This window comes from Homo sapiens, chromosome 1 (assembly GCF_000001405.40).
Source record: "Homo sapiens chromosome 1, GRCh38.p14 Primary Assembly".
Classification (NCBI taxonomy): domain Eukaryota; kingdom Metazoa; phylum Chordata; class Mammalia; order Primates; family Hominidae; genus Homo; species Homo sapiens.
The window spans coordinates 69,820,183-69,847,200 of NC_000001.11; the positions used below are offsets into that span (position 1 = coordinate 69,820,183).

Genomic DNA, 27,018 nt, shown 5'->3' on the forward strand with positions numbered 1-27,018 from the left:
TGTATCTACTATAGGTCTTTGCTTTGTGGTTACCATGGGGCTACATTATAACATAGGCTATGTTATAACATCTTATAGTTATAACACTATTTTAAGCTGATAATAACTTAACTTTGATCACTTATAAAAAATCCACACATCCCCATGCACATACACACATTTTAGGTATTTGATATTATAGTTTATTACTATTATCATTATAATACTTTAAGTTCTGGGGTATATGTACAGAACATGCAGGTTTGTTATGTAGGTATACACGTGCCATGGTGGTTTGCTGCACCCATCAACCTGTCATCTACATTAGGTATTTCTCCTAATGCTATCTCTTCCCTAGCCCCCCAACAGACCCCAGTGTGTGATGTTCCCCTCCCTGTGTCCATGTGTTCTCATTGTTCAACTCCCACTTATGAGTGAGAACATGTGGTGTTTGGTTTTCTGTTCCAGTGTTAGTTTGCTGAGAATGATGGTTTCCAGCTTCATCCATGTCCCTGCAAAGGACATGAACTCATCCTTTTTTATAGATGCATAGTATTCCATGGTGTATATGTGGCACATTTTCTTTATCCAGTCTATCATTGATGGACATTTGAGTTGGTTCCAAGACTTTGCTATTGCGAACAGTGCTGCAATAGACATAGATGTGCATGTGTCTTTATAGTAGAATGATTTATAATCCTTTGGGTATATACCCAGTAATGGGATTGCTGGGTCAAATAGTATTTCTAGTTCTAGATCCTTAAGCAATCTCCACACTGTCTTCCACAATGGGTGAACTAATTTACACTCCCACCAACAGTGTAAAAGCATTCCTATTTCTCCACATCCTCTCCAGCATCTGTTGTTTCCTGACTTTTTAGTGATCACCATTCTAACTGGTGTGAGACAGTATCTCACTGTGATTTTGATTTGCATTTCTCTAGTGACCAGTGATGATGAGCATTTTTTCATAAGTTTGTTGGCTACATAAATGTATTTCTTTAAATAAGTGTTATGTACTTTCTCTTCTTATTCTGGGTTTTCTATAATCCTTATTTTATTTCTCTTGAGGGTGTCCCATAAATCCCATAAGCTTTCTTCATTCCTTTTCATTCTGTCTTCATTTTTCTACTCTGACTGGATAATCTTAAATGGGCTGTTTCCGATTTAGCATTTGTTTTTCCTGCTTGATCAAGTCTGCTGTGGGAGTTCTATATTGCATTTTCCATTTCATTTATTGTATTCATCGGCTCCAGAATTTCTGGGATTTTTTTAATGATTTCTATCTCTTCATTTAACTTCTTGTTTTGTTCATTGTTTTCCTGATTTTATTGATTTGTCCATCTGTGCCCTCTTGTAGCTTACTTAGCTTCCTTAAAATATTAATTTTGATGTTTTTGTCAGGCAATTAATGGAGCTTCATTTCTTTCAGTTTGGTTACTAGAAAATTGTGTTCACATGGTGGCTCTCGCCTGTAATCCCAGCACTTTCGGAGGTTGAGGCGGGTGGATTACCTGAGGTCAGGAGTTCAAGATCAGCCTGGCCAACCTGATGAAACCCCATCTCTACTAAAAATACAAAAAATTAGCCTGGTGTGTTGGTGGGCATCTGTAATCCCAGCTACTCGGGAGGCTGAGGCAGGATAATCACTTGAACCTGGGAGGTGGTGGTTGCAGTGAGCTGAGATTGTGCCAATGCACTCCAGCCTGGGCAACAGAGCGAGACTCTGTCAAAAAAAAAAATTGTGTTATTTTGGTGGTGTCATATTCCCTTGTTTTGTTTTGTTTGTATTCCTGGAAGTCTTGTATTGTTGTCTTTGCATTTGAAGAAGCTGTCACCTCCTTCAGTCTTTACTGACTTGCTTCAGGAGAGAAACACCTTCACCAGTCAGCCAGATGATGGATTCTGAGTCTTTCTCAGACTTTTGCTGTGGATGTGCCTGCTCCACCTATTTTGTTTCCTCTTGGGCAGAATTTCTTAAGATTGCTTGCCCTTTCTCAGTCCCACAAAGCCAGGCTGTGTGCTGGGAGTCTCTCACTTGTTTTTTTAGGCAATGCTCTGAAATGCTAAAGTTTGTGTTCCTTCTCCCAATCCCACAAACTCAAGGTGGCTGGCTGTGTATGCTGGCCAGACAACGGCAAGTGCTCACACTCTCTGTCAGGCACATGAAAGGAGCTAGCTACAGTTATAGAAGGGAGGCTGAAAAACACAACGTGTTGGGAGGACCTATGAATCAGTTATGGTGGTCCACAGGTGAGGCATACCGAACAGGTCATGGGCAAACTTTGTGTTGGAGAATAGTAGAATATACAGCTCTTTGTTAAGTTTTGAACATTGGTTGCTGACAGTCCGTACCTCTCCTCCCAGCTCCTAGCCTTTCCCAGCCACTCAGCCTTGTTGATGCCCTCAGTATTCTAAGTGGGGCAAGAAAGAGGTAGGCCTCTAAGACAATGTCCCACACAGTTGGGCAAGCCTCACTCACTATATTTTTACTTTCCCCTGTGGGGACAATTGTGAGTTGAAGGAGTTTCTCCTGGCATTGAGCTGTGCTAGCTTGAGGGTGGGGTGAAATGGGTAAAATGAAACTATTCTCCGTACTATCTTCAATGAGTCTACTCTCATAAGCTTTGCTCCAATGATATGCTGGAATTTGTCCGCTGGACTCCCAAACTCCCACAAAAATACTCTCATCTGCAGGTGGTTGCCAAAATCAGTAAACTGTGAGATGTTAGAAAACTCCTATTCTGCCATCTTGCTTATGTCACTGAAAATATCTTTATTCCACACTCATTTTCATAGTTTTGGAATATTAGTTTGGTGGTGTATAGGATTTTAGTTGAAAATCATTTTCCTTCAGAAGTTGGATATAGTTCTGTATAATTTTCTTATTCCAAATATTTTTGAGAAGTCAAATGTCATCTAGATTTTGATCCTTTGTGTGAAACCTGATTTTTCTCTCCCCTCTTAATCCTCGATATTCCTTGAATGAGTGAGCTTTTCTAATCTGAAATAATCTTATTCATTGTTTGAAATTACTGAAATATTCTTGAATTGTTCCTTTCGTATTTTCTATCTTTTGTGTTCTCAGTTTACTCTTCTTTGAACTTCCATTACTCAGATACTAAAATGTCTCAACTATTATAAATTCATCTTTACTGTCTTTTTGCCTAATGTTACCACATTTTCTAGAAGACTTCTTCACATTTATCTTTTGATTCTTCTATAGTTTTTCTTTCAATCATTCTTCTGAGTTAGAACATCAATTTAAGAAAAATGTCATGAAGTCTTTTTCATCCCATTTTTTATGTCTGTAACCTTGGCACAATGTCTGGCACTTTTGGGTCTTCAAAGAACAGCAGCTTTAAAAGTGTGTGTGTGGGAAAAAAAGTGTGTGTGTGTGCGTACACGCACATTAATAATGTATATATTCACAGTATATATATTATATTATATTCTTTCAGCACACTAATTCTTTTTCCTGTGTTCTCTAAGGTAGATAAATTTTATACGTTTATACCTGAAGCCAGATAATTTTGATATGTTTTTGGTTCTTTTCTTGACTTACATCCTCTGATTCTTTTTTATTTCTAATAATTATAGATAGCATTATTACAGCACTTTGTGCCAATTGCTTTTCTGTATAATCTCTTTTAATCCTCACTACAACTCTATGATAAAACCATTCATATAATCACTATTTTTCAGAGTAGAAAACTAAGGCATTGGGAGTTTAAAAGACTTGCCTAGGGCTACCAGCCAGAAGGTATATAGCTAGGATTCCATCTCGAGCCAACAGACTGTGCTCTGAATTATTTTAAATTTAAACTGTAAACAATATAATACAAATTTTTAAACAAATAATATAGCACCATTTTCACCACAGTAGGCAATTCCATTTTCAGTAGAAGATAAAGAGACGTCATCTTTTTCTTAAAATCATATTTTAATTCACTTCTGCCTCCATGTCCTGATTTACACGTAATTCAAGCATATACCATTTTAAGACAGGGACCTGTGGTGATAAGGCATCATGTATAGCAGCATGCAATGAGCCCAGATTGGAGAGTGAACAGAAAAAGCTAAACGGAGAAAAGGAGAAATTTATACTACTGTCCATTGAAGATATTTAAAGAATTTTATGGGAAAATGTTAAGAATAATTCACAACTTAGATTATTGACATGGCTGCCTTTTTTTAGTGACTATTTAATGGAAGAAGTTCTAGGTGTTTCGGCCTTCCAAAAACAAGAGAAACAGGCTTTTTCATTAAATTCATACACAATGGAGCTCCCAAACTTTTGGAGGCTCTTATTTAGAAGTCAGAATAGTTCAGTAATAATTTTAGGACCGCATGATTTCTGGTGAAATTTTAAATAGAGAGAAATGGCGTGAGAAACATCGCAAACCCCACTTTGTACCCCTTTGTACCCCTATTTGGCAGTGGATAAGTGACCTGTCCTGGATTTGACTACCCTGCTGCTTCAAGGGCTTTGAAGTCCTGTGGACATGGTATTCTAGATGAATGAAATCTAAAAAGGTGGAATATTTTGTTTCTTGAGTATCCATCATCAAAAAGTTCAATTATATCCTGCCACAAAGTGTTCCTTATCCTTCTGTCAGATATGAAGTACTGGGAAAGGCCAGTTCTTTTTGAAAATTTTTGCATCCTTGATAATAGTTTCAAAAATTGAGAGAAAGTGGTACTGCAGGCATATCGCATAATAACAGCTTCATATAGCTTCTTCCCTTCTAACTTTTGCAGGGCCTACTACATTGATCCATTTCTGTCAATTGATTGAAATGTCCCCCACATCTTTTATTCCTCTGACCCTCACATTTATGGATTAGGTTTCAGCTTTTGCATTTTCAGTTTCATAGAAAAATCTGTGTTTTTCTGTCACACAGCCAGTAGCACAGCTGTGACAGCAGATGAGCAATTCTCCAAGGGCAATCAGCCAGGCTGGCTACCTCAGAGACTCCAGGGAGGACCCAAGGAAAACTGCTTGTCTCTTCACACTTTCAGGCAGATGCAGAGCTACACTCTGTACAGCCAACAAAAAAGAATTGTATAAAATTTAGCAGAGCCCCATATTAGTTTGGGAATATCTATCAGTTTTGGGTGTATTCCTAAGTATTTTTCACATGTATAAGTTCAACCTTCCTAACCTTATAAAATGATTATTGGAAGTAAAGATTTTATCTTCTGTTTTCTTTACATCTACTTGTTCTCCCTTCTCTCAGTAGCAGCACTATAACTTAATAACTTAAGCTATTTTTATTTCTTTAGGTTACCAAAGATCAAAGATTTATCTTAGGCCAAATACACAATTGTCCTCAATTTTACATCCAATTTTAAACTTTTATTATAAAATATTATTTAACATTCAACCTTTATTAAAAATTATGTATATATGATTAATAATATTGATATGTTATTAAGTTTTTATTTCTACTTAAATGCTTATCCTAAATGGTGTTTACATCATGTACTGACTCATAGTTTTAATAATTATCTAAATATTAGAACTATAGTTTAAAGAATATTTGTTGGAACATTTTCATGTACTTTGTTTTTTTCACATTTTAGGTGTACAAGAATTTCCAGAAAACATAAAGTGCTGTAAGTGTTTAACAATTATTGAAGCCAGTGTCAATCCCATTTCTAAGTGAGTATGAGTGATTAAATTTTATTTGTATTTATATTTCCATTGTATAATAATGTACCTAAATAGAGGAAATGCACATCATAATTTAAATTTAAATGTAGCATTGACATAGCATTTAATAGAATGATGGGAAAAATTAATCAGAATAGTTTGACAAAAGATGATTAAAAACATTGCTGAGTAGCAAGGAAGACCCAATTGGCAAAAGATGGTATGACTTTGAAACAAACTTTGTCACCATTTTCCACAGCTCTCAGGTAACACTCCATAGATAAGAGTTGAAACTAATAAAACAGTTATTAGTAATGGTCATGGTGGAAAACTAGCATCAAGGACTGCCAGAAGTTCAAGATACTGCAAGAGTTTAAGGTATTGACAAGTGCATAAAAATAACCTATCATGTAGATCAAGGGAATTAAGTATGACCAGAAATAGAAAGTACTTGTATACCAGAGATTGCAGCAAGAACAAAGAGATAACCCTAGGAGAATAGGAGAATGGAAGATATGGATAATAGAGATGCTGTGATCAGAAAATGGGTATTTGTAGTCCAAGATCTGTTCATTAAGAAATGCCATAGAAAAATGATACCCAGCAAGTGACCATGTTGGTAAATTGAGCATATGGAGTAGTGACAGAAGTCTGTGGAATCAAGTAGGTCAGGAAGCAATAAAATAAATTGATTGGAGGAGTCATGAACCTGAATGTTAAAGTCACTTAATAATGGAAGTAGAAATAAAATCTAGAGAGGCTCCTGACAGTTGTAATATTTAGAAGAGGTTGAAATAAGTCAGTTGTATTGGGCTGCAAAAAATGAGCTTCAGAGTAAGACTGGCATTTTAATTATACAAAGCTGACAGTAGGATTTGAGAAAAATTCCTCGATCTTTTGTCTGATGAAGTGTAGGAGGCTAGGGGAAACCGAAGCCCATTGGAAAGACATTTAATGGATGGAGTATTTTTAGAAGAAGACATAAATAAATTTGTCAAAGGGAAGTTGATGGGAAATTTTATACCAGTAGAGTTGAGGAGAGGGAGTAGTGAAAGTGGTTCTCTATGGATGATGGGAAGAGGCTCTAGACAAGGTGAGGAGTGAAATAGATGTAAAAGAATGAGATCGAAGTTTAGATGGAGATCTTTATAGTGAATGGTTTGTGAAATAATCTGAGGCCTTTTGTAGGAAATGTAAAACATCAAGCAACAAAATGTGTTTAAAAATTACAGTTTTTCTTCCTGAAAAGTAAATAGGGAGGGAAAAAAAAGAGAAAATAAAACTCTAAAAAGCTTTTCCCAAAACTCGTAGACCAAAATGCAATTTTTTCAACATCTCAGTGAAATAGATGTTACTAATTTCTCCCACCAGGACTACAGTCATGTCCTTGACTTGAGTCAAAACAATCCAGTGCTGTTGATAAATTGCTTTTTTCCTCCTAATTATTTAATTCTAGTAGCTCGTCTTATTTAGGAATCATGGTAGGTCTTTGGGAGTGGCAGCCAGATTAGAAATTACATCTTTGAGAAATTTCAAGTCTATGGTTTTATTGGATATGTCTAATTCCCTTCATATGTATAACTTTTTAAAAGATAAATAAATATGACCTATTTCAGCAAAAATGCATAACACTGTAAACATTAAACAGTTTTGAAATTCATAAAAATTATGAAAAGTCAACATAAATTGTTTATCAAATTTTAAAGTCATGTTTTTAAATATGTTATTTCTATACAATAAAATTTACTCTGGCCAGGCATGGTTGCTCACACCTGTGATCCCAACACTTAGGCCAAAGCAGGAGGATCGCATGAGTTTAAGATTGGCCCTGGCAACATGGTGAAACCCTGTCTCTATAAAGTATGCAAAAAATTGGCCTGGTGTGGTGGTGTGTGCCTGTAGTCCTAGCTGCTTGAGAGACTAAGGTGGGAGAATCACTTTAGCCTGGGAGGACAACGCTGCAGTGAACCATGATCATGCCCCTGCACTCCATCCTGGGCAACAGAGTGAGACCCTGTCTCAAAAAAATAAGATTAATTCTATTTAGGTGTATGGTTCAATGAATTTTAACAAATGTATACAGTCATGTGACCATCTCCATAGTCAAGATATAGACTATTGCATCATCTCAAAGAATTCCCTTAGCCCAGTCATCCACTGACGATTACTATCCCCATTGCTTTGTCTTTTTCAAAATGACAAATAAATGATATCATACTTTTGTGTCTGACTTCTTTTACTTAACATAATGATTTTGAAATTTATTTGTAATTTTTCAATAATCAGTACTTCATTCCCCTTTATTCCCAGGTAGTATTCCATTGTATGGCTATAACATTATTTGTTTATCTGTACCTCAGTTGATAGGCATTTGGGTTGTTTCCAGTTTTTGGCTATTATGAGTAAAGCTGGTACAAACTATGCACAAGTGTTTGTGTGAGCATATATTTTCATTTCTATTGAGTGAACCCCTAGGAGTAGTTTTCTGAGTCGTATGGTATGTATATGTTTAACCTGATAAGAAACTTCCAAATCACTTTCCCAAAGCTATTCAAATGTGTGTTACACCAGTTCAGGTGTTCAGAGTTCAGTTGTTCTTCATCTTTGCCAGAATTTGGTTCCATCAGTTTTTTATTTTTTTCCATTTTAGCCAGTGTAGTAGAAATGGTATTTCAATTATGGCTTTAATTTATATTTCTAATGTCTAATTAGCACCTTTCCATGTATTTATTTATAATCTGTATTGCTTTATACATTAAAGGGAGAAATAATGATATAAGTTTGCAGTGTTGTTAAAACAATTAATAGATTAGAAAGAAATAAATGAAATGATAATCATGGTTGTGCTAAGGAGGTAAAATTATGAGTTACACTTTTATCTTTATTTTCCAAATGTTCTCTAACATTATGATGTTCGTTTTATAATTTTAAGCTGCATAAATGAAGATGTTTTGATGTAAAATGCCTTTCCAGCTAGAATAGAAACTTCTACGTTGTGTTCTTATTCACAACATATAAAACTTAGAATTTTATATGGTTTAACTGTTCTATTAGAGGTCAGATGCTTGTAATATGTTTTCATCAAACTTCTAGAGTAAATGCAATTAGAAAAGAAAAAAATGTTGAAATAAGGGTGACTGAAACTGATCTTAATTTGCCTATTCCAATAGTAAAAATTAGCAATTATGAAAGTATTTAAAATAGTATTCTATTTAATGTTTATTGAAACATCAAAATAAAATTCTTACTAAATAAAAGTATTAAAATTTCTTTGATTTGCTGATTCTTACTATGGGATAGGTAGTCATTCAATCATTAGAGCAAATCTGAGCAGCAGATATTAGTATTATCATCTTACAAATAAGGAAATCAACTATTTCAAATTTAAGTAATTGCAAAGGTCACATGAAAATAATTTGAAGACCTGTGATTATAAGCAAAGTCTTCTGATATCAATACATGTGCTCAACTGCTAAACTATATGAGTGTCTGGGTCTATTGTTATTCTATCTTTGTTGTAGTTTTTTAACTGATATATATAGATGTACATTTTGGGTGGGCACATGTGATAATTTGATACATTCATGTAATCAAATCAGGATAATTGGGATATCCATCACTTTAAATATTTATCTTTTCTTTACACTAGGGACATTCTAATTCTCTTCTGACTATTTTGAAATGTAAAATTAATTAATGTTAACTAGAGTAACCCTACTGATCTATCAAACACCATATCTCATTTGTTCTATGTAACTGTGTATTTGTACATACCACTTTTAATATAAGCAATTAAAGTATTTACTTAGCAGAATGAATTATTTGCTAATTTATAAAACATATATATTCTTTGAATTTTTAAATAAATCAATTACATGTGAAAAGCCACCAAGTTATTTTAGGATAGTAAAATCATTTCATTATTGAGAGTTCCTTACTTAATGTCAAAGATTAGATTTCATTGAATACTTTGCAGGAAAGTAAAGGCAACTTATGATTGTCATCTTCATCAAGTGTATCCAGCTTGCTATGGAATATTTTCTTCCTCACAGTTCCTCATACATTTTTCTGGAAGTAATTATATTGACAAGTCAGGCCCTTTTCTCTATTAGAAACTACAAAATGTACCATAAAATTAATGATAAATAACTCCTCAATGGGAAAAGCAAGAACTAACATTTATTGAGAACCTATGTCTTAAACTTTTAGATACATTATTTAATTTAAATTTTACAGAAACCTCATTATGTAGATAAATATTATTACCTTTTTATAGAGAGAAATGCATGAAGCCAGTATTTAAATTCCTAAGTTTCTTTCACTGTATTTCACCATATCTGATAAGGTATTTTTATTTGCTGTAGGATACATTCTCAAAAATTTAAAACATTCTTAATGCTCAGCAGTGAAGAAATTACTAGTAAATTACAGTACATCTATGGGGTGGATATGAAAGTTATAAGTAGAGTGACCAAGTGTCTCTGTTTGCCCAAATCATCTCTGTTTACTATTCTTGATTTGGCATATTTACTAATAGCTGCCTTTTTAACTCTCACAAATGTCCTAGTTTGAATTATAAATTCTTTGAATATCTTTGAATATCTTTTCTGGCAGACTCACTGACTGTATATATATGATTTTTCAAATAACATCGAATCCATTTTTCATTCTATGTTATTTTCAAAGTACAATAATGGACAGTTTAAGAGATTTTAAAAATTCCTTATCCCCAAATAATTTATAATTTTTCCCAGGAATAGAAAATTTCCAATACTAGTACAAAGTATTATTGTATAAACATTCAACTAAATCTATGAACAGAATCCTATGAGGAAAATAAAGAAGACATTAATTTTGAATCTAAGTGCAGAGTAACCATTCAATAAAAAATTCACGTTGAAGTGAGTTGAAATAAAACATAGATGTCGTTAAATAAGACATACTATGTAATCGTATTCTTAACTCCACATTTTTAAGAAGAAAAGTTCAATAGAAAATGTCAATACATCTTTTTTTATAACCAGCCTGATAAAAACTGACTTACTTTGCATGCTGGTTTTTCATATAACCTATTTTTGCTGGTCCAGTTTTGTCACTGGAACCTGAAAAAATGTGGTCAATTCTTAAACTCTGAAACAAAATGTTCTATGTAATAAGCCAGATTCTTCTAGGGCATAAGCATTACCAAAGAAGAAGCAAAAAAGAAGTATATTTTTGATCAAAGAAGTAGTACAATATCATTTATTACATACATATGGAGAATAGTAGACTGAGAGAAGCTGCATAGTTTTGATATATAGGAAAAATATCTGTCCCTACCAATAGAAAATTAGTATTTTAATTTAACAGTGACACTGTTAAAATAAATTATTAGATTAATGGTTTTAACATTCGTCTAATTTTACATGTATCATATTGATCATCTTTTTTGAAAAGTCATATGTAAGTAGTTGTTTTGAATTACAAGACATCAAAGATAATAGTTAAATTCCAATTGAAATGTATTTAACATCTGTGCCATTCTCATAACAACTGTCATACTATCAGGACATGAGCTCTAATGCATTACAACAAAGTAAAACACAGAGAAAATTAATGACCTACCATAGACTTTCATTTCTATAAGATCAAGTTCAAACCTTTGAGTTGAGTATTCAAGGACTGTAAACCCTGCCCTCTCCTGATATTCTTAAATATTAACTCTGGATACTCTCATACATAAAGTATTTGCTGCAGAACTCATCTTCTCTTTGTTACACATCTCAAGTGTTTTCTTACCTCTACATTATAAAAACCCTCATTTTTCACTTGCCTCCCTTCTCTTTCTTTTCTACTTCCATAAATCCTATGTCTCTTAAAAGCAAATTTATGGCAACATCCTCTATGAAATCATATCCACAGAATTCAACTCCAAAATACAAACTAGAACAATATATTTACAGTGAAAATAACCAATATCAGAATAATATACAGTAAGTCTTCACTTAATGCCATTGATAGGTTGTTGGAAACTGTAACTTTAAGTGAAAGGACATACAGCAGGTCTTCAAATAATGTTGTTTCCTTCAACATTATTTCATTATAATGTTGTAGAGAAGATAAAAAATTGTTCTGTTATACATAGTTTCACTTAAATTTGCAGTTTCAAAGAACCTATCAATGACATTGAGGACTTATTACTAAGAATGTATAAAGAATTGCCATAAATCAGTATGAAAATATAAATGTGTTTGTTTTAGATTCCCCAGAAGCAGACGTTTAGAAAAGAATACAGCAGTGTATTTGGGAGATAAGCCCAGGAAATACTTGTTGAGAGTGTTTTTTCAAGCTGTTTACAGTATTTGGCCATTGGACTTTAACTTTCTGGGGAACTCTGGGTAACAGTGTAAAACACATACCAGGGTTATCAAACACAATGGGAGAGGGAGCAGAGGTATTTATATTCCTACTTGTCATTAGTTGAGTACTGTCTCTGAGAGGGACATTAATTCCATGGAACTTGGGCTACCAGGTGCATGAACAGACCAGGCTTTAGCAGCTGAAGAAAACCTTCAGACAGGAAGGAAAGGGGCAGGCAATCATGATTTGTTCCAGTGTACAACAAAATTATAAAGGCAGGGAGTTCTCTGGTTGGGGCACCAGTAGAAAAATAGGTAAAATAAGTAAACATGTATTTCACAGAAAAGGAAACAAATCTTGCTAATAAACTTTTATTCCTAACTAATCAGCGAAATGATGATTATTACTATTTTATATTTACCAAATTGGCAAAAATGAAAAAACTAACAAAACCGAGGGTTAGGAAGGACATGGAAAAATGGTGGAACTATTTTGAATGAAATTTGGCTACATCTAGTAAACATAGACTTGCATTCCCTATGACCAATGATGTCACTTCTAAGGATATAACTTAAGTAATATTTTGTAAATGTATACTGTATGTTCAAAATTATTCACAGAAGCCAATATTTATAATAGCAAAATGAAAAACTAGAAACAACTGTAGGTCAGGCACGGTGGCTCATGCCTGTAATCCCAGCACTTTGGGAGGCCGAGGTGGGTGGATCACCTGAGGTCAGGAGTTTGAGACCAGCCTGGCCAACATGGCGAAACCCTGTCTCAACTAAAAATACAAAAATTAGCAGGGCGTGGTGGCAGGTGCCTGTGATCCCATCTACTCAGGAGGCTGGAGCAGGAGAATCACTGTAACCTGGGAGGCGGAGGTTGCAGTGAGCCGAGATTGCACCATTGCACTCTAGCCTGGGAGACAAGAGTGAAACTCTATTTCAAAAAAAAAAGAAGAAACGACTGTAATGTTCATTAGAAGGAAAATGTTAAATTGTTTATTCATACAGTGGAATACTATGCTATGATGGCCAATCAGTCACGTCAAAATGGATGGATTTTTTAAATCTAATACTAATTTTTTTAAGCCTTGGGGAAATGTACACAGTGTGATTTGATTTATATAATGTTCAAAACCATGCAAAACCATACAACATGTTTTGTTTTAGGGAATTAAATATTTGTAGTAAAGCTGTTTCAAAACAGAGTAGTAAACATGATTCAGGAATTTGTGGGGCAAATAGGAAGATGTAGACAGGGAGGGACACCCAGAAGGTTTCAAAGATACTGATTCTATTTCTTCATTCTGTTGTGGGTACACATATATTCTTTTATACGTATATGTACGTACACACACATACATACATACAAATGCAAATATTATATGTATATATATAAGTGTTTTATATATACATACAAGAAAGTATTGGACATAGGAAGATAAACCATGGAATAAAACGCAGATATAATGTCCCAGGAGAAGGAAGAGAAGCAGGAAAATTGTAGTAGAAGCAAAGAAGGAGAGAACAAGCAGTGATGGCAACTGTTGCTAGGCAGCGTAGGATCCGAAATAAAATGAGGCTAATGGGATTGGAACTTAGGAGGTCAGTGGAGGCCTTGGTGAGTGCATTTTCAGTAACAGAATTGAGGTAGATGCCAGAAAACAATGACTTGAGTAGTAATCAAAAGCAATGAGTATAGGCAGATTTTTAAACAAGTAAATGCAAGGAGGAAGATAGGCTGTAATTTGAGGAGAAGGCAAATTTGAAGACTATTTAGGAGTATTTTATAAAATAACATAATCTGGACTAGACTATACATAAAGGCATTAAAATGTTTAAATAGAAATTTACTAATAAAAAAATTAATATTCCTCTGAATATGTCTCCTGAGAAATCCTTGAGTTAAATCTTTTTACATTTAAAATAATTATTTCATCTAATTTCTAAAACTCCCCAAAGGTTATTTTCTTAATTTTTTGATGCAGTTTATAGCCTTTATGATTGTCTAATTATCTTTTCAATGTTCTTTGTCATTTTTAATAAATATGAATTAGACCAATTTGAATCATGATTTACATACATGTTGAGCAGACATTAAAGAAATTATTAGTTAAGGGGACAACATACTCCTTCACTTTTCATACTGGGCAACTTTAGTCATCGCTGTAACAAATTGTAGACAAATTTTGATGATTAAGTGAAATAGTAACTGGATGCTCTTGCCTGACTATATATGTGAATATTCTGTTGAAAAAGGAACATTAGTTTTAAAATTACAAACAAGCCAAACAACTTGAGATTTCCATGAAAAATGTCCTGGCTAGCGTGCATAAGGTTAGGCCAGCAATAAGAGATGATGTTGCTGATTTTAGCAGTGACATAAATCTTAGTATAGGAGAGTAGCATGGAAGTGGATAAATGCTATTTACTTTAATAACAGGCAAAATTTTCGAACTGTAACAACATGCTCAATAAATTCTTTCATTACTGTAATACCAAAGGAGAGTTGAAAAATGTATTACATTTCTATTTTTTCTCCTCAGAGATACATATTTTTTTTGTTCTGTTTCTATAGCAACATCAATGCAGTGACTAAAACTTTAACTCCTTTTTAGACTACCTGATGGCTTCACACAGCTCCTAAACCTGACCCAGCTCTACCTGAATGACGCCTTTCTTGAATTTCTTCCAGCCAATTTTGGAAGGTAAGAATAAGAAATTTAAATTATGCAATTATATCTCACCTTAGGTAAGTGCTTTACCAGTGCCAGTTGATGAGACTTCAAAAGTGTCAGTTGTGATTAAAGATAGGCCTCATTATTATTCAATAAATGAAACGCTGTTAATTAATGAAACTTTTGCAAAAATATAAAGTAAAATTAGGCCTTTACATGACATTAATAGTCAAATAAATTCTAGATGAATTAAAGAGTTGGATATAAAAAAAAATAAAGCCAGAAATTATCTGAGGGAAAAAAAGGAGATGAATATTTATGGCTCTTTTGTTGAGAAATACCTTTATAGGCATAGAAGCAAAGAAAAATATCATAAATGGATACAATACATATGATGACCTAAATACTTTTAACATAAAGTATCAGAAAATCAAAGATTTAAGGTAAAACAATCAACTGAAAAAATAGTTTCATTATATATGAAAAACAAATTATTTATATATTTAACATAGAATTCTTACATATAAATATGAAAACAAAGATTTTAGAGAAAAATGGTCAAATTACAAGGAAAAAGCAATTCATAATAACACATAAATGGCTGGGGAACACATAAAAAAAGTCTGTCTTCACAAATAATAAACATAATACAAGTTAAAACAATAAAAGACTGTTATGTTCCAACATATTGCAAAAAAATTTTTTAGAGTATAAGAACAGAGATGATCTCATGCTCTCTGATAGGACTGCAGAATGTTATGACCTTCATGCAGGGCAGTATGCTTTTAAAACCTTTGAAAATATTTAACAACCATTGCCTTTGTGAATCATTTCTAGAAATGTCTATTGCCATTGTCAGATATCCCACTAGGATTTATGGACAAGTTTATTGTTATTTACAATGTGAAAAAAGTGGAATCACACATCTGTCTAGGATATTGGTTAAATATATTATGGTTCATCTATATGATAGCACTATATAATAATAATATTATCTTAGGGAAGTATTTTTTAAAATTCTTAAGATGTTTCCAATATGAATATGACTCTGTAAGAAATAAAAGACTGTATCTTAGAAGTAAAATTATGAATAATTTTTCTTGTCATCTTGACATGTTTTTCAATATTTTTCAGGTGTTCTACAATGAACTTTTTTGTGCAAAAGATATATCTCAATAACTAGGACATTTTTAAGTTTACTGTCAACTGAATTTATGTAAATGATAGTCTTTGAAATTGTTCAAATAATAGACTAAGTATAGCTTGACACCAATCTGTTGACTGAAGCTCGCACAGGACATTAAGAACTCAGTTGAATAATGAAGTCACTTAACATGTGACAGCCTCCATTTACATACTGAGAGCACATCAACCTTTCCCAGATTCCCTTACTTTTGCAGATCACGACATCACTACACTTATGAACAGCATATACTTGAGCAGTTTTAAAATTCACAGAGCATCCAAAGAGCACTGTTTGGCTTCTGAATGAATTGGCATTTCATCATTCATCCACAGAAACTAGCCTTGCCTTTCTGGTACTGACCACAGCCTTACAACATACTTTGGATTTATCAAATCAGAAAATGTTTAATTATTATCTTAAGATACATTTTTTTCTTGAATTTTTAAGTTCTCTTTAAGTAGTCCTAATGTGAGAAAAAGATTTGGGCAAGTGAAAAACATAATACCAATACCAAAACCACTTGAAAATAGAATTTAATTTTGCATAAATTGCCTACAAAAAATATGCTCTATTTTATTATTATAATCTGAAAATGTCTTTAACCATCAACTGGATAGTTTAACAAGAGGACACTTGAAATTCCTTTTAAAACCTGAGATTCTGTACTCCTAAAAGCCAAAATCAGTACAAAATATTATACTAGTACAATTGTTGAGAAGATTTGAGACATGCAAATGTTTAAGAAATCTCCTTTACTAGCAATATACCCATGCCGTGAAGAACTGAATCACTTTATTTCATATACAGATTAATCATTATAAGATTAAAATTAAATAAAAAGCTTGATAGGAGGCAAAAAAAAAAGAAAGGAAAGAGATCTACATGAAAACCTAAAAATACAGTAAATATGGGAGATGTAGATGAAAAACTTCAAATGGTAAAATATTTCCCCAAACATTAATGATTCAGAGAATCCAATTAATATCTGTTCTAAAGTAGCTTCATCTGAGTACATTTTAATGTTCTATATGGACAGGAATAACAATAGTGTGTCCTAGACTGCAAAACTTAACAAGTAACTAAGTGTGAAATGCATTCCTAATCACAAATGTTACTCAAGCAAAAGAAACTCTGAATACCTCTCATTCTTTTCACATGATTTCCCCAACCCCAGCATTGTCATGGGACAGATGATGTGACAGATTTTTACATGCATAACATTTTCATAAATGTTAAAATATGCGCCTTAGAGTCAATGAAATATGGTATATTGCAGCACTTCTCCCATTGTGTAAATAATGAAAATAATAATAGCCAATTCTTATTAAAACTTGTGATATACCAGAAATTATGCTTTACATGTATTACATTATCTAATGTTCCAAACCATATAAATCTGATACTGCTGTCACAGATTTATGGGTAAGGAAATTGAATTAAGAGAGGTTAAGTAATTTGCCCAGTGTCAGAGAGGCAGAATATGAAAGAGTTTGGATTTCATCCAGGTTTGTCTTCCTACAAAGTCCCATTTTTTTAACTCTATGCTATAGTATTTGCTTTTTAGTTTATTTATAATCTCTTGAGAGAAATTATTGCCATATTCCAGTGAACACAGCATCTGGTATTTAGTATACATTCAATTATCTATTGAATGGATAAAATTAAACAACAAATATACCTTTATAAAACATATGAAATTTAGAAGGCTGGAATCCAAAGATATCTTTAAAATATCTCAGTTAATTTTAGGAAAATGATATTTGTCATTGCCCAGTATTGATGTAACCCTACTCATAATCAATATATATATTTCTTTAAAATCTATAACAATAGTAAAAAAAAATTTGGACATAGCTGTTTGAATAGTGATAATGATAGTTTACCATAGTAAAATTTATTTTTATTTTAATTTTTAATTATTATGGGTACATATAGTTGTATATATTTATGAGGTATGTGTGATATTTTAGTACAGACATACAATGTGTAATGATCAAATTAGGGCAATTGGGGTATCCATCACTTCAAGCTTTTATCATTTCTTTGTGTTAGAAATATTCCAATTCTACTTTTTTAGTTATTTTTAAATATACATTATTGTTAACCATAGTAACCCTATAGTGCTACCAAATACTAGATCTTATTCAATAATTTTTTAGACAGACATACTAAGAGGAAATTTTTAAAATTCATTTCTGTAGACTTGTCAAATTGCGGATCTTGGAGTTAAGAGAAAATCACTTGAAAACTCTACCAAAGTAAGTGACTGTGTATTTTCTGAATTTTGAACTGTGATTTTTTTCACTAGTAAGAGAAATAACTACTTTTATTTTGTCTGTGTTTTGGCACTTTGAGTTAATTTATCTACACATTTTTCCTAAAGGCCAAAAAGTATGGTATACTGTAAAAGATTCATATTACATGAGAATGTATTCTGTTTTATAAAACTGTAATTACAGGTAAAGGTGGAAAGAGTTCACTTAAGTTTCTTCTCATGGCTGAAGATACATGCCAGAAAAGTATTGCACTAAAACATATGAAATTGTCCTTCTTATAGCTAAAAACAATAGTGTCACAAGGTTCAACCTAATAGGATGCTTAATTCTTCAAGTTAATTTATGGATTGTAGTGTATCTTTCAGTTTTTACATCAAGAATATGCCAGAAATTTTTAGGAAAAAAGATTAAAATTTTTCAAGAGATCGTAAAGTGGTTTAGGTAGAAGTTATATATTCTTGCAAATTGTTCATTTTTACTAGTCTATTTAAAATTTGGCTTACATAAAAATATAGGATATATTTTAAAGTAAAAACTAATCCTTAAAATTTTATGCAATGTTTACCATAATAAAATGCTTTGTTTCACCCAGCTTTGCCTTATTCATGTGTAACAATAGAATTTTATGTTTTACAGTTAATTATTTTTGAAAGTCAAAATGGGTTTTTTACTCAATTAAATCAGTATAACTTGTATATGTTATGATGAAAATATTTAAAGTACTATGTTGCTATTATCACCCTTCTGCAGTATTATAGAAAAATATTGAGTACAGTGAATAATTTTTTAAACATTTCAGTAGGACTTAGATTCATCTGCTGAACCAAAATGTAACCTTATTTTTTACTTATTAAATCCTTTTCCTAAGCAAACTGGATTGACTAATATTTCAACAACATACCTTCAAGTGCATTTTATGTATGATATTGTGTATTAAAATTGTCATTGCAATATAATGCCACAATTATGAAAATAACTTTCAATAATGATATGGATTTAATTTGAATATATACATAAAGATAAAACACCTCCTTAATCCTCCATAAGAGAAGACAAGGAGAGAGCATAGAAATGAGGAAATGTCTGCATATTTCACCATCCTGCACTTTTGAATTATGCCTTTCTCTAAGCTAAAGCATTGGGTATGGGCCTAACCCAAGGAACCCCTCCCAGGTTGGGGGCATAAACAGGTTGAAATATGGTTGAGGGTGTTAATCATTCAAGTGGAAATTTCCTGCAAATGCAGCTAGTGCCACTGAGTCCATCCCTGATGCTTTTGTCTGCCACATTTAAAGTAAGTGGAAACATGGCTAACTGGAAGCTAAACCAAGATAGAAAAGCAGTTGTCCCCTTCACCTAAATATATACATTTAGGTCAAGGAAAAAATATTGAGTATGCAGAGGAGAATCATTTTCCCTCTGTTCTCAAATAATGGCTTTCATTTGAAGTACAAAATAAACCTGACATAGGTTGTTAGGTTTTCAAATATATATCTTTAAATATGAATTTTAAATATAAATTAAAACCTGATATAGATTGATAATATGGACTTTATATGAAATAGCTGTGTGAATAAATCAGAGTAATGAGAAACAATAATAACAACAATAATTGGTGCTGGGGTATTGTGCAGGCTTTGAGATTGTGGCCCAGTATTAAACAGAATTAAATTAAGTAGAATAATATGCATAAACCAATTTGGACATAGAAAAATGTTGTAAAGATATATTAGAACTGATGTTGGGTCTCTTTGATAGACTCATACACATATAACTTATATAGCTGTTACAGCTTTTACACTTTAAGAAACATTTTCAAAGTTACTTGCAATCTAGTGTGTTCATTTTATAACTCACAGGCCAAAATCTAAAGAACCAAATTCAGGCATAAAATATAGATAACTTTAGTTTTGGGTCTATAGAATGAGAATTGCAGAAAGAAATTCTTCTTTGAATAAAAATAAACTTTGTTTTCACTATGTATTATACCTTTTGATCACCAGTCTATACCTCATGTAACTTAAAGCTACACGAGAGCATTATAGTATCCTTTATTTTGCACTCCCAATAAAAATAAAGGTGAAAACATAGTTTTAGGAAAAACAATTTTAGTTTAACAATAACTATTCTGAGAAGAGATAACTCATGATTTCCTTAGGGATACAAACAAGATGTTGCATTGTTAGTTATTTTCTCTTCTTTTCATCTTTTAAGTTTATATGCTTAGCAATCTGTGCAAAATGTGATTGTGTGCAAGAATCATAATATAACATACATGAAGATGTACATCCTTTAAGCAAACTGATGGAGACTCTTAGATGTATGCAAATTCTAGGATAATTTTTTTCAGTTACAAAAACAAATTAGTATTATAAGTTTCCTTATAATGTTTATGATCATTCCTCTACATACATCAAGGAGTAATAAAACTAAGTCCTTTGGATACACATTTGCCTAAAACTCATTGAAATAGTCAAGTCTTGATTATTTGTAATAATAGAATACAGTGAACTTCTGTAAATAACTAGATTGCCAAAAGGAAAAAATGTTAGATTATGTGATACAGTTTTTCCTTACACAAGAATTATCTTCCTAATTGTGTTTTTTGAGGGATAGTCAGAAAATGTGTAGATGGTAGAGAGAATTCAAATGAATGTTAGATGTCAAGGGAAAACCAAGCCTTTGTTTGCTTATTTGTTTGCTTATTTATTCCTTACTTCATTTGTTTGTGTAAGAGTATCTCAGGGTTAGGAATTAAAGAGAAGCTAGATTCTCGGTGATGCTGTCTCAGCGTGTCTCATGAGGCTTGAATGGGCTAGGGTTTGCCTCAAATCTCACTCAAATGGTGGTTGGCAAATGGGTTTCTCACTGGTGATAGACTGGAAGCTTTCCATTCTTTTCCTATAGAAGCTCAAGTGTGCTTCTCTATAGGGCTACTCTCAATGTGGCTGCTCGCTTCCTTCTGAGCAAGTGATTTGAGAGAGAGAGTGTGCATCTAAGACAGAAGCCTTGGTCTTCTTATAATCTAAACTCAGAAGTGATGTACTATGATGTCTACCATATGCTATTGATCACAGAGACCAAATCTGGACCATTTCTTCCAAAGTATGGAAGAAAACAACGTTAAGACTATAAATACCAGGAGACAGGGATTAATGGAGTCCATTGTAGAGGTTCCTACCACAGGTCTGGTTCTCAGCATTGCTGGTCTAGAAATTCAATGCTGACATATACCAAATGCATCAGATGCAGAAGGCCGATGCACACAATATAAAATAGTCTCCCTTCTTCTTTATACCATTTCATTATTGTGTTTGATTTTCATCATAGCACTTACCGCTCTCTATATGATTTTGACTCTTTGTTTACTTGGAGATTATCTCCTCAAGACAGTATGAGTGCCATTAATGAAAGATTATTTCCAATTGGTCACTGCGGACTCTCCAGTGCCTTAAACATGGTAGACATTCCAAACCAGAATGCTGAGCTATGGATTCACAATGACAAGTATCTGTCATGTGACCTTGACATTTTGCATCACTTGATTATTTTTCTCCACAGAAAATTATATGGGAAGCCAAACATTATAATCAGATTAGTCTTGGAGAGCAGCATGAAGTCAGACAAGGACAAATGATTGAGCTTTCTCAATAGCTGATAGCCCAGACTTGGATTTTATAAACCTACACACATTTTCTCTCTCTCTAGATGGTTTCAAGTTAGGCATAATAGTTAAGACATGACAGGGAGAAAAATAACTTCATATAATTAATATTTATAACAACTAAATAAAATACAAAAATAGTATAACTGCTTTTTATTAAAATGTGTCACATTTCATCAAGAAACAAAATATATGTCAAGATAAAAATGAAGGGATAAAAACAATTTTTTAAATGAAATTTAGAAATTTTTTCCACAGAAGTAACATAACATCATATAAATGGTTGGTAATAATGGTGGGTTTTAACTTTAAATAAAACTGTTCCATGTGTGTGAGAAGAATTTTTCTAATACCGTCAAGTTAAAATAAGGCCTCATTCATTAATAATTTATCAAGGCCAAGACTAACTTTGTTTCAACTAGAGTTAAAATATATTATGTAAATGCATGTGTTAATTACGAAACTATGAAGTAATATGAAGAAAAAGAAACATAAATTAAGGTAACATGAATATTCATGTCTCCTGATGCACAAGGCATGAAACATGATACCTCACTTTGCTGTCATATACACTGACTAAGAGAGGAATGTTTCAAATATATTCCAACAGAATTACTGGGGTAATATCAGTAAATACAGTAAAACCTGATGAACATATTCAAAATTGGGAAAGTGGATGGATTTGGTAGATGAAGAATGCTAAGAGTTGTTGGAAGAAGTTCTAAGTGGAAAGATAAATCTGAAGTAATGACAGTATCTTTTGGGTCAGTGACCCTTCTGAGAATCTGAAAAGAGCTATGGAATATAGAAAAGTATTAATTCTAAAACGCAAGTTGTATCTATTTTCAGTATATGAATAACCTATTGTGAATATACATGTTCTTATTTTCACCTAGAAGTAGACTATTTTGCCTTTTATGTAAAATAAGCCACATCAAAATACCTAGTATTGGCCAGGAGCAGTGGCTCACATCTGTAATCCCAGCACTTTGGGAGACCAAGGCAGGCCAATCACTTGAGGTCAGGAGTTTGAGACCAGCCTGGCAAACATGGTGAAATCCCGTCTCTACTGAAAATACAAAAAGTAGCTAGGCATGGTGGCATACACCTGTAACCCCAGCTACTCAGGAGGCTGAGGCAACTGAATCGCTTGAACCTGGGAGGCAGAGGTTGCAGAGATCATGCCACTGAACTCCAGCCTGAGCAACAGAGTGAGACTCCATCTCAAAACAAAGCAAAAAACAACAACAAAAAAAAAACCTAGTATAGAGCATCAAAAAGAGGGACCTCCCGATTTTAGGAATCAAATTTGTCAAATGGATAATTTTAGTCATATAACCATTTCTAGTATGTTCATTGAAGAAGATTTTTTTAAGAAGAGAATATTTTATTGAGTAAATTTTATTTCGGGTTGTTAATAGGATTAGATTTCATTATCATCTGTGAAGTTTTTTAATTTCCCATAGTAGAAATTATTAAGGAATTATTTAAGAGAAAAATTTTCCGAAGTACAAGCATAAATGATACTTTTAAACTACTAAACTATATATGCTAGATATCTCGTAAATGGTGTATCTATTATTTATATGATTTTATCCCTTGGGCATCATTGCTTTTATTAAGTGATTTTGCCCCTGAAAACAAAGGTTCAGAAACTCTGTAGTACCACCTTTGTGAATACCCAAGGACATGTACACAACATAAATATACTCACAGAAGATGCCAATACATTAAAACTTAACTGGACATACTCTTCCAAAAAGATTCACTTTAAATTATATATGTAAATTAAAGCCAGAGCTACACCGACAGCTGCACACTGTTAAGGAAAGATATTAGATCATGAAAGTCAAAAAAGACTAAGGGACTATTACAGATTCAAGAAGACTAAAGAGACTAAAATAAATATCATTCTGAACCGGTTCTTTTGCTATAGAGGACATTTTTGAGACAACTGACAAAATTTGGGTTTGAAGATTAGATGGTAGTAATATATCACTATTAATTTCCTGATTTGGTTGGTTGTATTTTGATCGTGTAGAATGTTTGTGTGTAGGAAATACCGAAGTATTTGGGAGGATGGGACACCAGATTAGCGGTTTACTCTCAAGTAATTCAGAAAAACATGATTTTTAGTTTTTAAACATTTTTGTAATTTTATAACTGTTTCAACAAAAAAGTCACTTTATTTTTTATTGTGTTCTTCAATTTCCTTTTTAATTTTTTTTATCGTGGTAAGACTACTTAACATGAGATCTACCCTCTTAACAAACTTTTAAGCATACAGTACAGTATTGTTAGCCATAGGCACAATGTTGGACAGCAGATGTCTGCAACTTGTTCATCTTGTATAACTGAAACTTTATACCAATTGAACAACTCCCCATTCCCTCCTCCCCTCAGCCCCTGGCAGCCATCATTTGATGCTGTTTCTGTGAGTCTGACCATTTTAGATACCTTGTGTAAGTGGAACGTGCAGTATTTGTCCTTCTGTGATTAGCCTATGCCACTTAGCAGATTCACCCATGTTCTCACATATGGCAGGATTTCCTTCTTTTCTAACGTGGAATAATATTCCGCTATATACATACATACCACATTGTCTTTATTCATTCATCTGTTGTTGGACATTTAAGTTGATTCCATATCTTGGCTACTGTGAATAATGATGCAATGAACACGGGAGTGCAGACATCTCTTCAAGATCCCGGGGTGAGTTCCTTTGGATATATATTTAGAAGTGGGATTGCTGGATCATATGGTAGTTCTATTTTAAATTTTTTTAGGAAACCATTCACTATATTTTACCATACTGTTTTCCATAGGAGCTGTACCATTTTCCAGTATAACAAAGGGAACATAAACATGTGTTTTAGAAATATATTTTCAAAGATAAGTTCCTTAAAAATAAAGATAAAAACACTTTCAACACAGATAAAATTATTAACTGTATGAAATATTTGTCAATATATAGGTTAAGAGAAGAATTTGCACTTCCATACTAAAATGCTAAGGCCATGAGGCCTATAGTTCGAGCACTTTGGGAGGCCAAGGTGGGAGAATCACTTGAGCCCAGGAGTTTGAGACCAGCCCAGGCAACAGAGCGAGGCCCTGTCTCTACAAAAATTTTAAAAAAGTAGCTAGGATTGGTGGTGTGTGCCTGTATTCCCAGCTACAAGGGAGGCTGAAGTGGGAGGATCACTTGAGCAAAGGAGGTAGAGATTGCAGTGAGCTCTGATCATGCCACTGCACTCAAGCCTGGGCAACAAAGTGAGACCCTCTCTCAAATAAATAAATAAAAGGCTTAAATATGTGTAAAAAACAGCATTTTAGAAGTAAAGGTTCTATCCGTATGTGACTAATATATGCACTGTGGTTTTTTTCCTAACCTGAATGGCAATAAATGCTACATATTTATAATTATCACTCAAATTTCTAAACTATTCATTTCCAAATACTATGTTTTATTTTTCATATAAGTTCATTTATTCTTTTTTAATAAGATTACTCCATAGACAGACTTATCTAAAATATAATAGATTTGTTATGTTTTCTTTTTTTAAAATCCTTCCTTCCTTTGTTATCTAGTTTACTACCAGTTATTATCAAAATAATGAAGAAAGCTCATAGATTAATATGTATTCTTAACTGGACAGGTGTGACTAAGTCATGTTTCCATTCTCATTTCAGTGTTCTATTAATGAATTTATCTCACTTGGCATTATGCTACCCTACTAGCTATTTTAATGAAATACATCAATAGGTTCCTTAGTGCCATTGTAATGAAAATTCCATTGTCAAGGACAGCTTACAGAATGGCTTTTTGATGTTTCTATTAACTCTGTATTTGTAATTCTGTTTTGTAACTGTAATACATAATTGGATACTGTGTGATTGTGTAATCATATTACCTTACGCTTTTACCAATTTATATCAATTTACAAGGTACAGTGTTTTTGCTGAACCCATGGTACCATCCTCTTCAGGATTATCTTTATCAAAACCCTCAGTTTGACAAGCTAACTAACCAAGGGAAACCACATTAGTGCCCTCTGCTTTTAGAGAATTATACATAGAAACAGATATTTTCTTTACTTCTTCTCACTTGGTGTTATATTTTCAATTCAAATGAAATAAGTGGATAATTATGACATTCTATATTTAAAAGTATTCTATAAATTATAATGCATTATAACAAAGTGATTATTAGAGTCACTTCTAAAATATCAAACATATGCTTTCCATAGACTCACAAAGAAAACACTGAGTTCTGCCTTGTGAACGAATTGTATTTATTTTTAAACTTATACTCTCAACACAAAATTAAGAATGATAATATTATGGTTAGCTAAGGCTGTGGCGACAATGGGAAGAGCTTGGAAGAGGTCACAAAAACCAAGTAACACCATTGTATTCAAATTGCTCTTTTCAGACTACTTCAAACAATAGCTACTCTGATCCCTGATGATTAGTTTACCAAAAGATAAAAACTGCCTGCAGTAACAGTGAGGCTGAAAGCACTCAGCTTCAGTTTTATAAGATCTCGGAGGCTTAGTCTCTAGTGGAACAATTAGCTCACACTCTTACTTCTGTTTCGCTGAGAAGAGCTGTAAAGTACTTGAGTGGGAATGTACTTTGCAGTCAAAAGGCCCTTGTTGCTTGTTTATGGGTTATTTACCTTCTTTGAATCTCAATGTCCTTATTTGTAAAGAGTGCTGGATATCATTACCTCTTTTAAGCTGGGAAATATATTTTGGGTAAGAGTTGATGAAAATAAGGCTTATTATCATTTAGACCCAGGAAAAATTTTAAATAAATTTAGTATACACTGGCACTTAGAAAATCTGGGTGTGTGCAAGAAAAGATTGACATGAGTTCTAGATATTTTTCATTTTATCTCATAAAAATATCTTTATCATAAATGAAATAATGTTATTTTTAGTTTTTTATAATAAATTCTTAAAAATAATGTGTGATGCTAACGTGCCTTTCTTACTTCACCAGCAGTACTCTAGTGAAAACTTACACAACTAATTTTCTGTCATTCTCAATAAAAAATATAGAAAATGTTTAACTAAATGATCTAGTTATTAATTCTTAATGACTTTTTGCTTTTAAAATTGGTAGCTTCTTTAGGCAAATATTGAATTTAGCAACTAAAACACGTGATAGAAATTAACACTCCACAAGGATTAGGAAAGGCATACATCCATTGTTTGTATCTTCATGTATCTT

The 27,018-nt window shown here is 32.8% G+C and overlaps 1 protein-coding gene across 10 annotated transcripts in view; it reads left to right on the forward strand.

The window, feature by feature from the left end:
- The window catches only part of LRRC7 (leucine rich repeat containing 7), a 576,443-nt gene that overhangs the window by 252,261 nt on the left and 297,164 nt on the right, over positions 1-27,018 (forward strand). For all 10 annotated transcript variants that reach the window (NM_001330635.3, NM_001366839.3, NM_001370785.2 and 7 more), the window contains 3 exons: positions 5,566-5,644; positions 14,598-14,687; positions 18,045-18,101. In NM_001330635.3, the coding sequence (NP_001317564.1) occupies positions 5,566-5,644; positions 14,598-14,687; positions 18,045-18,101 (226 nt within the window). The remainder of the gene's footprint in view (positions 1-5,565; positions 5,645-14,597; positions 14,688-18,044; positions 18,102-27,018) is intronic.